General features: G+C 40.2%; 1 protein-coding gene and 1 long non-coding RNA gene across 2 annotated transcripts in view; both read right to left on the reverse strand.

Moving 5' to 3' along the window:
- PIR-FIGF (PIR-FIGF readthrough) overlaps positions 9,441-15,757 on the reverse strand; it is a 145,719-nt gene continuing 139,402 nt past the window's right edge. The window contains exons 14-15 of the long non-coding RNA NR_037859.2: positions 11,014-11,209; positions 9,441-10,109 (exon numbers count right to left, since the gene is read on the reverse strand). This is a non-coding gene — a long non-coding RNA (PIR-FIGF readthrough). The remainder of the gene's footprint in view (positions 10,110-11,013; positions 11,210-15,757) is intronic.
- The window catches only part of VEGFD (vascular endothelial growth factor D), a 38,818-nt gene continuing 32,506 nt past the window's right edge, over positions 9,446-15,757 (reverse strand). Inside the window, exons 6-7 of the mRNA NM_004469.5 lie at positions 11,014-11,209; positions 9,446-10,109 (exon numbers count right to left, since the gene is read on the reverse strand). Of these exons, the coding sequence (NP_004460.1) occupies positions 9,983-10,109; positions 11,014-11,209 (323 nt within the window). The 3' untranslated portion in view covers positions 9,446-9,982. The remainder of the gene's footprint in view (positions 10,110-11,013; positions 11,210-15,757) is intronic.

The raw sequence follows: 15,757 nt of genomic DNA on the forward strand, positions 1-15,757 counted from the left end.
TGCTTGACTAGGAAGCTAAAGAATCAGTGAGAGTGGTATGACGGTCATCCATGCGTCACAGCTGGTACTTGGAATCCCCCATCCCTGCCATACGTGCGTTTTCGAGAAGAAATTCCTTTCTGAGTACCATCACAGCCACCGTTACTGGCACCCATTTTATTAAGCCTAGTGTAAGCCTATTCATCCCTGAAAATGTCTGCTCCTTTCTGATGCTTTCCCCAAGCCTCCAGAGAATGAAATACTCTCACTTTTTAATTTTAATAGTACTTTGGCCACATGCTGGCCAAAGTATAACATTTATCAGATGATATTCAAGTTGTTTGCCTGATTGCATTCTCCCTCCTCACCCTGATCCTTGATTACTTGTCTCTTGAGATCTCACATGGACTTCTTTCTGAAAACGGAAATTGTATTTGCTTGTTAAATGTCTGCCTTCCCTGCCAGATAGTAAACTGAGGCAGGATCTGTTCTTGGTAATGGATGTTGAGGAAGTTTTAGTTTAATACATGAATTTCTTTACCCAATGTCAGCACACTCCCTGACACATATTAGATGCTCACAATAAAATGTATTGACAGTATTTCGTGGAGTGTACCTTATACAAATTACAGTGCAATAACATCATTGAAAGAGCATTTTAGTTGTGAGATTTGAAGCGAATTAATGAGTTGATGAGTAAGACTAGAGTAGCAATCGATACTTTGCCCTGTGTTAATATTGATGAAGCATCGGAGAATTACAGTGATGAAGACTCAAGGACACTTAATTAAGCTTTATAATTTGTAGTTGGTTTCACAGATAACAGCGACATTACCAGATAGGTACAGCATTTGGCCTCCTTTCCATTTTTGTAATAGGTTTTAAGACAAAGAGTGGGGGTAGAAATCCTGGAAGGTATAAATGAGGGTTAAGCCTCACTTATTGAGCCCCTGGTTTGCCCCTGCCATAGTTCTGATCACAGTACACGTTTGAAATTCCACCATGAATCTTTTTTCAAAATATAACAAATATTTCTTATTTTTATCATCAAACATTTACTGGATGTCTGCTCTGTAAAAGGCCTTGTGGGGAATACAAGAAATATTAAGCATAGTCCCTGTGTTTCAACAGCTTTTTATTTTTTCTAGCTTTTCCTGTACATGTTATCAATAGTCAAAAGAAATCCACCTTTCTTAAAAGGTTCTTTGTGTTTCAAATATAGAATAGGCTGACCTTTATAAATAGATATTAATAGAGGCACACTGTTGCTGAGTCTCTGTGGGGGAGGGCGTTGAGGAGCCTGCAGGCTGTTCCAACAAAGTCTGAAAACATTGAACATTTATTTAAAGCTCCAGCTTCTGTCCTAGGCACTGAGCATTAAAAGATAAATAAATCATGATTCCGACTCCCAAGGGTTCATAATCTCACCTGGGTACATGACTTCATTTATAGTCAGTTAAGTAAAGGTCTCCATTTAAGGCTATATTCTAAAAAGTCAAAAGAAATTTGTAGTAGCAAGATTAAGATATAAATCTGGAGATGATTCTAATTATGGTGTCCTGCCTTAATGTATGGTCTCAAGGTATGTCTTGAGAGAATTTTCTCCGGAACCACTAAAATTAGACTAAGATACTTACATGCATTATATTCTGATTGCACTTAATAAAATATGAGGGCAATTGGTACCAGTTTTAGTATTAAACGACCTGAGATGATGAAGATGTAAAATAAATGTAGATATCATCTTCCCTTGAAATTCAGTTTTTGCAACTTCATATGTAAATTAGCTCTTTGGGATAATCTTGGAGTGCGAAGGCAACAAACATGTCTTGAGAGCCTACTATCTGTGTACAAAGCACGATGCAGAGAAAACCTGGCATGAGCTTTACTTGCAAGGAAACAATACAGAGTTAAGGCATATGTAAATATCTACGATAAAAAGCAGGAAGTGATAAATGCCATAAGAGAAATATAAGAAAAATATTGGGAGTTCAAAGGGGAAGAGTATTTCTAGCTGCCAGCATTTAGCTAGAAGAATAAGTAGATGGTGTCATGCAACTCTTGGGAACAGGGTAATTCCAAGAACAACATGAATGAGGTACAGACAGGTGCTGTCCAGCAAACACTGCTTTGTAATCACAAAGGAAAAGAGAAGGGAAAGTGGGCAGACAGAAGAAGAGTGGCATTATCAATGAAGGTTAGAGCAAACTGGTAGAAGATATTACTAAGGAAAATGGGCTTGATGTTGAGGCGGACTTCCAGCCAAGATCACATTTTCAATTAGTATTTTGAGACTCCTAACTCCTGATTCTGCTTCAAATATAACAATAAGTGATACAATATAAATGAGAAAATTTAATGTTTTACCTGTGATTTAAACAAGAAGATAAACATTTCCGTGTATCAGAAACAGAACCAATACGCAAAATGGTGATCAGGAACAAAGCCACCTAGGTCCTGGATTCTGTATGTGGCAGCAGGAAGATGTGAACCAGGGTTCAGCCCCTGTAGAATAATAGACTAACAGGGTTCCATGTGTGGCTTGATACAGGAACCAGTTTTGTGAGAGACTGTTACAACGGTGACCTTCAATAAACCAGTATTCCATATTGGCAGCCTTGTCTAATCCTCTCCCACATTGGCTCTGGGTTTGAGCATGTGACTGGAATGGCCAAATGAGATGCCACAGATGCTTAATAAGTGTTTATTTACTGGGATGCATCTTGTTGGAACCTTTCCTCTTGAAAGCCAATGACCATGCTGTGAAGCTCAGACAAGATATTGGATAATGGCAAGCCACATGGAGAGAAGCCCTGAAGAATGAGAGGTCATCTTGGGCATTCCAGCAGTAAGTGAGTTCCCAATTTAATATAACCACTGGAGTGACTTCAGCCTATACTATGTGGAAAGAACCACTTAGCTGATCCTAACTAACCCACAGAATTATGAGAAATAATAAATCGTTATTGTCTCAAAACATTAAGTTTTTGGGTGATTTGTTACATAGCAATAGATAACCAAGCCTTATTGCTTAACCATCTCCCCTACTTGTGAATAGACATTGAAAGAATTTTTTGCCAACAGTCTGAGGATATAACTTTGCTAACAGAACTGAGCCAAGCAACATAATTTGCAATTTTCCACTATCACTGCTAGTCTGGGGGATATAAGCACACACACACACACACACACACACACACACACATACACACACACACACACGGGGAGAGGAGAGAGTGAGAGTGAGAGCGAGAGAGAGAGAGCTCTCAAGATTGGTTTATAAACCAAAATTCAAAAACAATGGAAGATATATAATATTAAGAAAGACAACACACAAATGTAACAATGGAAGAAGAATTCACTCTAGACGCAATTCAAATAATTTTTGAAATGACATTTTTAAAAGAATAAGAATTTGGAAATAAAAACATGCAGAAATTAAACAAACACCAGTGGATATAAAAGAATCAATTAGATACCTTGAACATGAAGATGTTACTAGCATTTTTAAAACTCATATTGATAAGCTTTAGGCTACACACTGTTGAAACAAAGGTTAGTGTGGTGGAAAAGAGTAACTAAGGCAGTTACTTCTTTTTGATGCAGAATATGAGATGAAATGTCAAACCACAATCAAAGCTTTGTCCTAGGAAAATTGTTCCAAGAACTGGAGAAAAGGAAGGTGAAAGAGTGGCACAGCTGGAGAAGAGACCAGTTAGGCTGTTCCAGTAGTCCAGAAGCCTCCTTGCAATTTAAAGTAGGGGCTGCAGATCAGCAACAGCAACTGGGAGCTGGTCAGAAGTGCAGACTCTCAGATTCTCCAGACCTGCTAAATCTGAATCTGCAATTTAACAAGATCTGGAATGATAGTATGCACATTATAGCTTAAGAAACTAGCTCTAGACTAGAGGCAATGAGGACCTGATGTTTTCTCGTGGCAATAAAAAAAAAGAGAGAGACAAGGAAAATCACAGGATATTGGGATTTGTTTGAGTGATGTCTTCCTTTTCGTTTTAGCACCCTTTTTTGAAGACCGTCCTCCAGTAGCCTCCTAAAGAAGACTGCATGGGAGATCGGGAGATTTTCTAAGAACTTTAATGTCTGAAAATTTATTTTTCAGCCCTCCAATTTTATTGATAGTTTGGGTGCCAAATAGTAGGCCAGAAATTATTTTCCTTCAGAAGTTTAGCAGCATTGCTCTAGCCTGCTAGCTTTTGGTGTTGCTATTGAGAAAACTAATTTCATTCGGATTCCTGGCCCTTTGTTTGAAGTTATCATAATTTTTCTTTACTCTGGAAACTTATACATTATCTCTTAGTCTCCCGTGTCCTGAAATTTCATCATTTTGTGCCTTGGTATAGGCATAGTTTCACCTTTTGGACTAGGGACTCAGAGAGCCTTTTCACTTGCCAACTCATGTGCTTCGAAATTCTCTTGAATTTTTAAATTGTTGATTACATCTCCTATTGTGTCTCTTCTCATTTCCTGTAACTTCAGTTATTCTGATGTTAGACCTTCTTATCTTTTCACTTTTAATTTCTTATTTATTCTACTTCATAGGAAATTTCTTCAACTCTGTCTTCCTTTTTTGTTCTATTGAATTTTCAATTTATTATAATAGTTTTAGTTTCCTAGGGCTCAATTATGTCCTCTGACATTTTCTTTTTTAATAACACCTTCATTTTATTTATTAGTTGCACTGTCTCACCTTCTTCCCTCATCCCCTGGCTATTAATGATTTGAAGTTTTCTTCTGTTTCCTCCAAATTGCCTTTTTCTGTGTGTTTTACTCTCTGTCTTTCATGTTAGAAATTTTCCCTGGAGGTCTGGGAATTCATGCTTGCTTGCTCATACTTAAAAGAAAGGGACAAAGGAGCTGATCTGAGGTCTGAGCCCAGGAATGGGGCTTGATGACCTCTTTGGGCTGTTCCATTTGATAGTCCCTCCCCCAGCTAATTTCAGTCCTTTTTAGGTCTTTTCTCTTAGGCTGGTAAGATTCCCCCTAGAGAAATACTTTTCCAGTACAGATCCAACTGCCTGAATTGTGGTTGCACCTAGTATGTACGCGTTCACTTAATCCTCTTGTTAGTTCAGCACCCTGCCCTCATGGATGTCAGGCATCCCCCATTCAGGATGCTCTCTCTTTTACCTTAGCCAAACGACTAATAACCCATCTTTTGCCTGGGGTTGGAAGGAGCAGTCACTCCACCACAGGGAATGTGGGAGAAGATTTGGGATCAAACTGTTTCTTATACAGATTTTTGGAATGAACCTCATTTTAGCACCCCTCTCATCCCTCCCATTTCTAGAGGTGCTTGGGACACCCACTTCTGAGCCTTTTGGGAACTCATCTTTCCAGACTGTTGGCTTAAATTATTTTTTTTTTCAGGTCGGCCACATCATTTACAACTTATCTACGTGCTTTTCAGCTTTCAGAACATTGTTGTTTCTGTTGACTTTATCATTTACCCTGTCCTTGCGGGCTTATGCTTTAAAAAAAAAAAAAAAATCCTGGTCCGGGTGCGGTGGCTCACGCCTGTAATCCCAGCACTTTGGGAGGCCGAGGCGGGTGGATCACAAGGTCAGGAGATCGAGACCATCCTGGCTAACATAGTGAAACTCCGTTTCTACTAAAAAATACAAAAATTAGCTAGGCATGGTGGCGGGTGCCTGTAGCCTGTAATCTCAGCTACTCAGGAGGCTGAGGCAGCAGAATCACTTGAACTTGGGAGGCAGAGGTTGCAGTGAGCCAAGATTGTGCCACTGCACTCCAGCCTGGGTGACAGAGTGAGACTCTGTCTCAAAAAAAAAAAAAAAAATCCCCTTACTCTTTAGGAGTATTTACTTTACCCAGGGCATTGGAAAAAAGAGAAAAAACAAACAAACAAAAAAAAAACTAATATGTTTATGCACTATCTCTATTTAGAGTCCACGCCATCAACACTAACATTTTAGAGCTATACCACAAACATAACTAGAACCCATCAATAAATGTATCCATGACTTTATTTGAATTGTGGAAACCTGAAATTTAAATCACTGTAACTTTTTAGCTTCATTGGGTTGCACACTACACAATGACTCAAATAAGGTGAGGCCAGTTGATTCCAACAATCGATCAAGGCCAGGTAAAAGTGCCATTTCTTATAGGGGTTCAAGAAGCAGTCTAATTCATTATATTTAATGTTCATTGATGACGTGATAAAATAAGAAATATTTTTACACAAGCGGTTGGCTAACTTTTTCTGTAATGGACCAAAGAGTAAATATTTTAGGCATTGCAAGCCAAACAGTCTCTGTCCCCAACTACTCAACTCTGCTGTTGTAGAATAAAAGTAGCCATAGACAATACATCAACAAATGAGCATAACTGTGTTCCAATAAAGCAGTATTTACCAAAACAACAGGCAGTGAGCTGAAAGTGGCCTATGGGCCATAGCTTACTGACCACTGTTTCAGAACAATATCAGTGATAAAATTACCAAAGGCAGACTTTCTTTCATGAAGCCATTAATAAGGGTCAAATAACAGAATTTTTTTGCTCCTTTTCATTTCATAAATATTTTGAGAATAGATTAAATTCCTTTCTAGAGTTGCAACATCTGAATAATTCAGACATGCATATAATTTAGCTGAGTTTGAAAAACATGAGCTATGTAAAATTACTCTTCACTTTTTAAAGAGATAATTTCATTGGCTGGCCACAAAATCAATGTAATAACTTATTATTTATTAAATATTTATTGAGTACCTAATATATGCAAGACATTGTTCTCACACTGAGGATTAAGACTAAATTAGGCAAAGTCCAGCTCTTGCTGACCAAATCTATTAAGCTCACAATTTTCACTGAACTATGGCTTTTCTTAAGGGCATTAAAACGTAATGTTTGTATAATTTCCTTTATCAAGTCTCTCAGACAGTATTTTAATCTTCATTCAACTCTGATCATCATGCTGCCTAATCTGTTTCCATCTCTAAAGGGCCTCCTGCCACACTGTTTTAGTCATAGATTTATGACGTGTGCTGTCACATTAATAATTCTCTGGCCCTGTGGCGTAATCAGGGACATCATGCATTGCTGGCATTTATTGTGTTTGCTTAAAGCTCTTGGAGTTTCTCACATACTTTTATTTTGCAACAAGTTGAGGATTTTCAACTCACGTTCCAGGGCTGTTAGTATGACAAATATTCCTGTGCAATGTCTAGTGAACTCTAAGAAAGCAACAGGCCAGTTACCCCACCTCCGCCCTCAAGGACCAGACCCATCCTGACCCAGCGTCAGGGATCCAAGTGCAGATCTTGATGGTAATTGGGAATTAAGGAGGAAGAAGAGGGAGGGGTTTTAGAAGCACAAAGCCAGATCACATTGAGTTTTGGCTTAGCTTAGAATTCCCTATGATAATCTCCATCTAAATGGCAATTATGAAGCCAGAGGCATTTCGAGCCAAAACATGGTTTGAGTTGGTTTTAGGACAGATCCAAGGATCCAGTATAAGCCAAGAACATCTCAGAGGTCCCAAGCTTCTGAGATTTGCTCAGTCTTGCTTTTTTCCTTCAGAATAATTCCTTTGAGCTATAAGGTACATTGTATTGTTCAATTTTTTTTTTTCACTAATCGTAACTCTAATGAAATTATCAATTCTGAGATTTAGGGAAATGAGATTATCATTTACATTTGACAGATGAGAAAACTGAGGCTCGATGACATTGTTCAGGCTTACAATGTGTTTAGGTGGCAGAGTCTGTCCTTAAATTCAGGTCTTTTCTCCTTAGTGATACATCCCCTCTTTTTACCAGTCGAGGATAAGCAAAGTAACTCCTTTAATTGTGTGGTATCCTTGAATTGTCTTCTGCCCCAGATCTCAAAGGAATTTAAGCAAATATCATGGAGAAGTTGGGAGTGGTAGAAACTGAACGAAAAGGCAAAGCAAAGAGTCGAATGCCAAGTATGTTTTAAAAAACTAAGTTATGTGCAAGCATTTTCAGAAGCCTGATTAAAAATACAGTAAAATGAGAAGGAAGAAGCCTGTTGACATCAAGGTCATAAAGTGAGGGCAAAAAGAACAGTGGCAAAAGAGGAGTGACTGGGTTGGCACCAGTAAATGACAAGAGCAATGACAATGGCAGCACAGTGGGGAGTGGTTCCAAGGCCAGGTGAAGGTTAGCTCATGTCCCCAGGGCAGGGACTGAGAGTTAAAGCCAGGGAAGCATCAAAGGACCTGGAGCCCCAGGCTTCAGAGAATTTCAGTGAATGAAGGGAGAATTCAGGAACTGCTTAGAAACCCTGGCAGAGGAAGGGTAGGGATTTGGGCCAGGATCAAACAATGCCACTACCATGGGGCTACATTTGTTTACTATTCCATTGTTTATCATTGTCTTTCTCCTTTTGATTGTACTGTTCCAGGGTGTTCTGGCCTGAGAAAGTTGGGTTACACAAATTTGATCAGGACACCGTTTCCAATCATAATGAGGTCACAGTATGGTGGGGAGATAAACAGGAACACTACTATTTACACAAATGTGTTGTAAGTACCATAATGGGTTGTGTGTGTCTATATACATATCTATCTATGCAAGATACTATGCAGGGATTAATTTTAAGTTATTTAATACATAACTTAAATCTGCTAATGCTGCTAAATTCTCTCTGTTATGGCAAAATTTCAATAAAGTCTACATCATTAACAAATTAGATGTAGGAGTACTTTGAGGAAAAAGGCTTTATGTGGCCGGGCGCGCTGGCTCATGCCTGTAATCCTAGCACTTTGGGAGGCTGAGGAGGGTGGATCACAAGGTCAAGAGCTTGAGACCATCCTGGCCAACACGGTGAAACCCCGTCTCTACTAAAAATACAAAAATTAGCTGGGCGTGGTGGTGTGCATCTGTAGACCCAGCTACTCGGGAGGCTGAGGCAGGAGAATCACTTGAACCTGGGAGGCAGAGGTTGCAGTGAGCCAAGATCGCACCACTGCACTCCAGCCTGGCGACAGAGTGAGACTCCGTCTAAAAAAAAAACAAAACAAAAAACAAAACAAAACAAAACAAAAAGTGATAGCTGTAGAACAGAGAGAAGAACTGTGTTGCCATGAGAGTTGGGGTGTCCATGACACTGAGATTTGAGTAAGTGCAGAAACTTGGAGCCAGAGGTGGCTAGAAGAAATGCAAACTCTCAAAGAGGTCAAGGGCATGGATGGGTTCCCCTCTGCCATGGGATGGGGATCAGGTCAAGTTCAATTTAATCTCAAGGCACAGAGTGATTCGCAGTGGATTCTTGGGTCACATTTGCTTAGCCTCATTTAGGATCTTAACCTTTCTGAGAGCTATTCCCTTGGTTTCCCAAAACTGAGGTCCAGTGTTTGTGTCTCTTCCTGCACCTTCCACTTTGAAATTCCTTTCTTTCTTTAAAACACTTTTTCTTTAGCATAAATATAGAGTGGAAGCATATTAAATAACATAAAATTATATGGCTTGAATAATGGTGTTTATTTTCTTTAAATACACTTAAATATGAAACATCAGATGGTAGTTCATTAAACTGGAAGACTATAAGCTGGACAGTAATCAGAAAGTCAGTACTGATCATACGAATCAAATTCTGCATAAAAAAGAATCAGAATAATTCACAAGAGTTGCGATTAGCAAAGGACTCAGAGACTACAGTTTTCCTCATCTGCTCTGAGTAATCAGTCATATGACACCTGCCATTCCATGACCAGCACACCTTTCTCATTCACCAAAAAACAAAAACAAAACTAAACAAAAGGATTACATGGGTCCCCTCCTCTCCATTCCTTGGTGCGCAGAGGCATCTGCAGCTAGAAGACATCCATCAATGAACCAGGGACTCCTTAGCTGGTGTGAATGGAAGGTTGGTCTGGATTCACTGTGGTGCTGTGTAAAATGGATTTTTTTTTTAACACCTGGGAAAAAAACAGTGACAGCAACTTGGCAAAGCAGCATGCTGTTAAAAATGACAGGGATGGGGAACTTGGAACGCTGAATCAAGGATTCTTTCGGCTGTGGGGCCCCTGGGCAGCCCTTTTCTCCTTTGGAAAGCGGCAATGCTTTGCACATGCTGTTTTGCCACTTGCACATGGTCTGGTATGAAAGGGGCATCTGTCCTCACAGCTGTTGCAAAAGAAAATAAAGATGAGAATTCAGAATCAATGACTGGATTCAAAAGAATAACTCTGCTCTGATTTGATTAAGTTTTCCAGACATGTATTTAAAATGTCAGTATAAAATCCTGCATGGTTATCCCACATGGATTCAAAATCTACTGAAGTGAATCAGTAACCTCCAAGTGTTCTATTCATGAATAAATTACTTGCTATATAAATCCAATGATATTCCCTCCATTAAAGAAAAAAACAAACATATATAGACATAAACAATGAGAGATTGAACTAAACAGGTTGATGATCTGAAACCTCCCCTTCCTAAAATATTATTATTAAGCAATATCCTAATAACTGCTTAAATTTTACCAATTTCATTGTTGTTTAAGAGCTCTAAACCCCGGGTGGGCGCGGTGGCTCATGCCTGTAATCCCAGCACTTTGGGAGGCCGAGACGGGTGGATCATGAGGTCAGGAGATCAAGACTATCCTGGCCAACATGGTGAAACCCCGTCTCTACTGAAATACAAAAATTAGCTGGGTGTGGTGGCACGTGCCTGTAATCCCAGCTACTTGGGAGGCTGAGGCAGGAGACTCCCTTGAACCAGAGAGACGGAGGTTGCAGTGAGCCCAGATCACGCCACTGCACTCCAGCCTGGAGACAGAGCGAGACTCCGTCTAAAAAAAAAAAGCTCTACACACATAATAACAGGCAGGATTGATTTTCTTATTTTCATGATTAATCATGACTCGGTATACTCTTGCTTATTCCTTAGCTGCTAAACCTCTGTTCTATTATCCAAAAGGGACTCAGGCACCAAGGGGAAAAATTAGCTTACTAAGGAATCCCACCAAATTAAAATGGCATCTACGTTAAATGTCATGAGTAAAGGCAAGACAACTCAAGGCATTTACCTGCAGGTGTCTGGGTGAAATAGCTTGTGCTTCTGGCAGCAGGTCTCCAGACTTTCTTTGCACTCAAAGCAACTGCAGTTTTTGGGGTGCTGGATTAGATCTTTGGGACATGGTGTTTTACAGACACACTCGCAACGATCTTCGTCAAACATCATGTGTGGCCCACAGAGAGCTGGTTCCTGGAGATGAGAGTGGTCTAAAGAGAAACAGAAACGTGTTGGTCAGATAGTTGTAGTGTGGCAATTGGATCACCAAAGTTGATTGTATCTTTTATGTCATCCGTAAGTAACTTGGATTCACCCAATCTCCTTCCTATAGATTTATGCCCCTAATTTTTTCACAGGGTGAGGAAGATTAACCTCTGATTTCACAATACAAACACAGGTTTGTGTGTTTTCTTAGGTTTGTGATTTTTAAAATATCATAAGCTGAATATTTTTCATAAAATATTTTTAGAGATTTTTATGTTGATGACTTGTTTAGAATGCAAACTTCCACAACCAAGTATTAGTAATAAAATATAGGATGTCTAAGGGTTATGAATCTAGCTGTCTCCATTTTTTGGTGGAGATTAAAAGGAGAGACACACAAAATAATTGGTGTTGTAGAAATACACCTCAGACATTCCAGGCCAGGCGTAGCAATAGCAATGCATGTCCTCACTGCAGATCATAACACTAGTATAAAAGATATAGGAGTAATAATGAACTTTGATTCCACCAACATCTGCTGGAAGATACATTCAAGTAAAGGGGAGGGTCTGAGAAGTTTTTGACATACTCATCTGACAAATATTTCTTCTAGAAGGTGTATAAAACAATTGAATAGCTACTACTCCAAATCCATTTCTGATTAACAAGTTGAAATTCATTGCAAAATAAATGGAAGAGACAGAAACTTTGGAAGAACTTGACTCTGTCCCTTTAGCATTCTTGAAGGTTTTGGAGGGACGTACATGTTTAGTAGTTTTCTCCCCAAATCTGCTTCTCTCCCAGTTTGCCTCATTTAGGGAATGGTGACATCATTCTTGACTCACCTGCTCTGGTAAGTCTGAGCATCATGTCCACTCAGTTCTGCCTCTCTAAATTTGTTCTTTATTTTCCATCCCCACTACCACTCCCACAATTCAGTCTGTACCTTGTGTTTCTTTTGTAGATGGCTGTCGCTCTGTCACTCATCTCACCACCACAAGTTTTATCCCTCCAACCTATTCTTCTTCACATGATTAACAAATGCAAACCAAATCACTTCATTCCACTGCTTTGAATGCATTAAAAGGTTCCCTTCCCACAATAAAAACCAATTTTCCCACCAGGACATACAAGGCCCTCCATGAACTGGATCATAGTAACCTCACAGACTCATCTTCTGTTTCTTGCTTTCATATATCCTGTGTGTTCCATTTATACCAAATGACAGCACTTTCTGTTGCCCTGATATTCCAGTGCCTCCCAGTCCCATGCCTTTGGCCTTGTCTTTCCTTCTGCCATCCCTTTTCCCTGACATCTTTCCCAATGTCTGCAGGTTTAGCTAAGTGTCCTTATCCTGTGCATATTGCTGTCCGATTCTTTCTTGCACTGATTACATTTGTCTGTTTACTTGTATGTTTCCCCCATTAAGTAAAATGTCCTGAAGGAGAAGGAGCAGGTCTCATTGTTCTGATATAAAATAGGCACTCGATGGATGTTTGTTGGGTTTATTTGGTGTAATAAAAGGGTCCTGAAGCAGGCCGATGTATGGAGCTTCTGGGAATCCCATCCAGCATTCCAAGCCATTGGGTTAAACCATATGTTCTTGCCAATATCTGACTTTAATGACATATCAAAATGAGAATCTCGTGCGGTTCAACTTTATAGTTTAAACTTTTCTGTAATGCACGACGTTTGAGAATGGGTGCTGGAAGGCTAAATCTGAGAAGTCTCCATTTTGAACTTTGTGGAGAGGGAAAATGTGAGCTCTGTAAGTCATATGCCAGTGAGGCAGATGCCGCTTTGGGGTAAGACAAGAGTAACTTGTTAAAGGATAAAGAGGCTTTTTAAAAATTCGCAATGATCACTAGGTGGCAGCAGAAGTTCACTAAGAATACTTCAGACAGGCCCAAGGCCATTGTTGGACAGGGTTGTTCAGGGAAACACAATCCACAAGGTGTTTGCAGAACTTCAGCAGGCTGTTTGGCAGAGTCTGTGCTCACATCCTTATAGCCAAGTTAAAAGAAACAAAAACTGGATGCAAGAGAACTGGTGGTGGAACAGCAAGTAGCTGAGGGTGATATCTTGAAGTATTATGTATTGATTTCCGTCCCTAGAGAGTCTGATGATATGTTCTGTTCTCAGCTTTGTTCCTTTTACCATTTTTATCAATAAACTGATAGAATTTTTTCAAAATAAATTCTTGAAATTGTAGCTCTCTTCAAGAAGGAAGGGATATATTAAGTATTTTAAAATACAGAATTGGGACCTCCTCAATTTATTCTTTTGTGTGTGTGTGTGTTTGTGTATATCGTTTGTTTTAACAATTTAGAGCAATGACCTGACTCTAACAAGACTCAATTAAATTAGACTTGGATTCACTAACCTAAATGTGCTCATCTGGGCAAGAGAAGTCACTGTAGAAAAGGCAGTTGGCTTAACAGTCACATGTGCGGAAAAAAAGTATAGTGAGCAGTAAGCTCAGTAAATCCCATCAATTTGATGGGGCCACTGGAGAAATGAATGTGAACTTGATCCACATTGGGGACTTATAGGAGATGAGAATGAGAAACAATTGTGATCCAGTCCACCCTGCGCCTCTCACTTACATCATTGCTACAACTTCCCAAAAGGTTTCCTGCCTCCTTCCCTGCCCCGAGTCAACACATCCTCTTCTACACTGTTGCTGATATGATTTTGTTAAAATTCTAATGGGTACTGTCACTCTCCTGCTTTAGCCAGTTGTGTGGTTTCCCTTTGTCCTTAGTATCACATCCAAGCTCCCATGCAAGAATTACAAGGTCCTTCTGCTTTGCCCCTGTGAGCCTGTCCAGCTTCTTCTCTCACATCTAACCAGCCCCTTCCCCATTATGTCCCCACCCATTATATCCCCACCATGCTGAACTTCTTCCAGTATGTTCTCTCACCTCCAGCCCTGAGTGCTCATATACCCGCTGCTTAGAACAGCACTTCTCTTCTTCCCTATTCTTCTTACCACCCTCTACACACGTGTACTGGCTGAGTGCCTTCCCAAGAATTATCTCCAGCAGAAATAAGCTGCCTCTCCTAAGGCTACATCCCCTCTCCAAGGCAGCCAATGAACGGTCTACAGGGCTCAGCCTCTTCACCTAGATTTAAGACTTACCCCCGCAGGGGTTCCCAGCTTCAACTTCCCATTGGCTTAGGCTGATGCCTCTTAGCAACTGCGCTGTGGTCTGCTGCCTCTCTCTTTACCCTTTAATGCCTTGTGCCTGCCTACAAACCTCCTCCGTACAAAACTGTCTCAGAGGCTTTGTGCCAGGAAATCCTCAGCTAGAGCCTTTAAGCTCTAAGTATATTGCCCTTCCCACAGTAACTTACTTTCTTTCTCTTTCTTTCTTTCTATCCTTCCTTCCTTCCTTTCTTTTTCTTTCTTTTCTTTCTTTCTTTCTCTCTCTTTCTTTTCTTTTCTTTCTTTCTTTCTCTCTCTCTCTCTTTCTTTTCTTTTCTTTTTCTCTTTCTCTCTTTCTTTCTTTCTTTCTTTTTTTGGAGGCAGAGTCTCACTCTGTCATCCAGGCCCGAGTGCGGTGGCATGACCTCGGCTCACTGCAACCTCTGCCTCCCAGGTTCAAGAGATTCTCATGCCTCAGCCTCCTGAGTAGCTGGGACTACAGGCGCACATCACCATGCCCAGCTATTTTTTTTTTTTTTTTTTTTTTTTTTTTTTTTTTTTTAGTAGTAGTAGAGATGGGATTTCGCCATGTTGGCCCGGCTGGTTTTCTTTTTTTTTTTTTTCTTTTTTTGAGACGGAGTCTCGCTCTGTTGCCCAGGCTGGAGTGCAGTGGCGGGATCTCGGCTCACTGCAAGCTCCGCCTCCCGGGTTCACGCCATTCTCCTGCCTCAGCCTCCCAAGTAGCTGGGACTACAGGCGCCCGCCACTACGCCCGGCTAATTTTTTTTTTGTATTTTTAGTAGAGACGGGGTTTCACCGTTTTAGCCAGGATGGTCTCAATCTCCTGACCTCGTGATCCGCCCGCCTCGGCCTCCCAAAGTGCTGGGACTACAGGCGTGAGCCACCGCGCCCGGCCGGCCCGGCTGGTTTTCAAACTCCCAACCTCAAGTGATCCTCCCATCTCGGCCTCCCAAAGTGCTAGGATTACAGGCATGAGCCACCATTCCCGGCCAACCCCACAAAAATTTTCTAACACTTTTAGAACATGAGTCACATGGAGAAAGAATTAGATTTGTTTTACATGGTTCTATAGGGTAAAACCTGAACTAATGAGTTGATGCTCTTGAGCTGGGCTGTCCAACAAGGTAGCTATGGGCCATATGTGACTATTGGGCATGAAATAGAGAGTCTAAATTGAGATGTGCTGTAAGTGTACAACACACACTGGATTTCAAAGACTTAGCACAAAGAATGTAGGCTAGCTCATAAATTTTTTATATTGATTGCATGTTGAAATGATAGTACATTGGATAGATTGGATTAAATAAAATATATTAAGATAAATTTCACTTGTTTCTTTTTATCTTTTTAATGTAAAATGTGAGTTACATATATGACTCTTATT

This window comes from Homo sapiens, chromosome X (assembly GCF_000001405.40).
Source record: "Homo sapiens chromosome X, GRCh38.p14 Primary Assembly".
NCBI classification, from domain to species: Eukaryota; Metazoa; Chordata; class Mammalia; order Primates; family Hominidae; genus Homo; species Homo sapiens.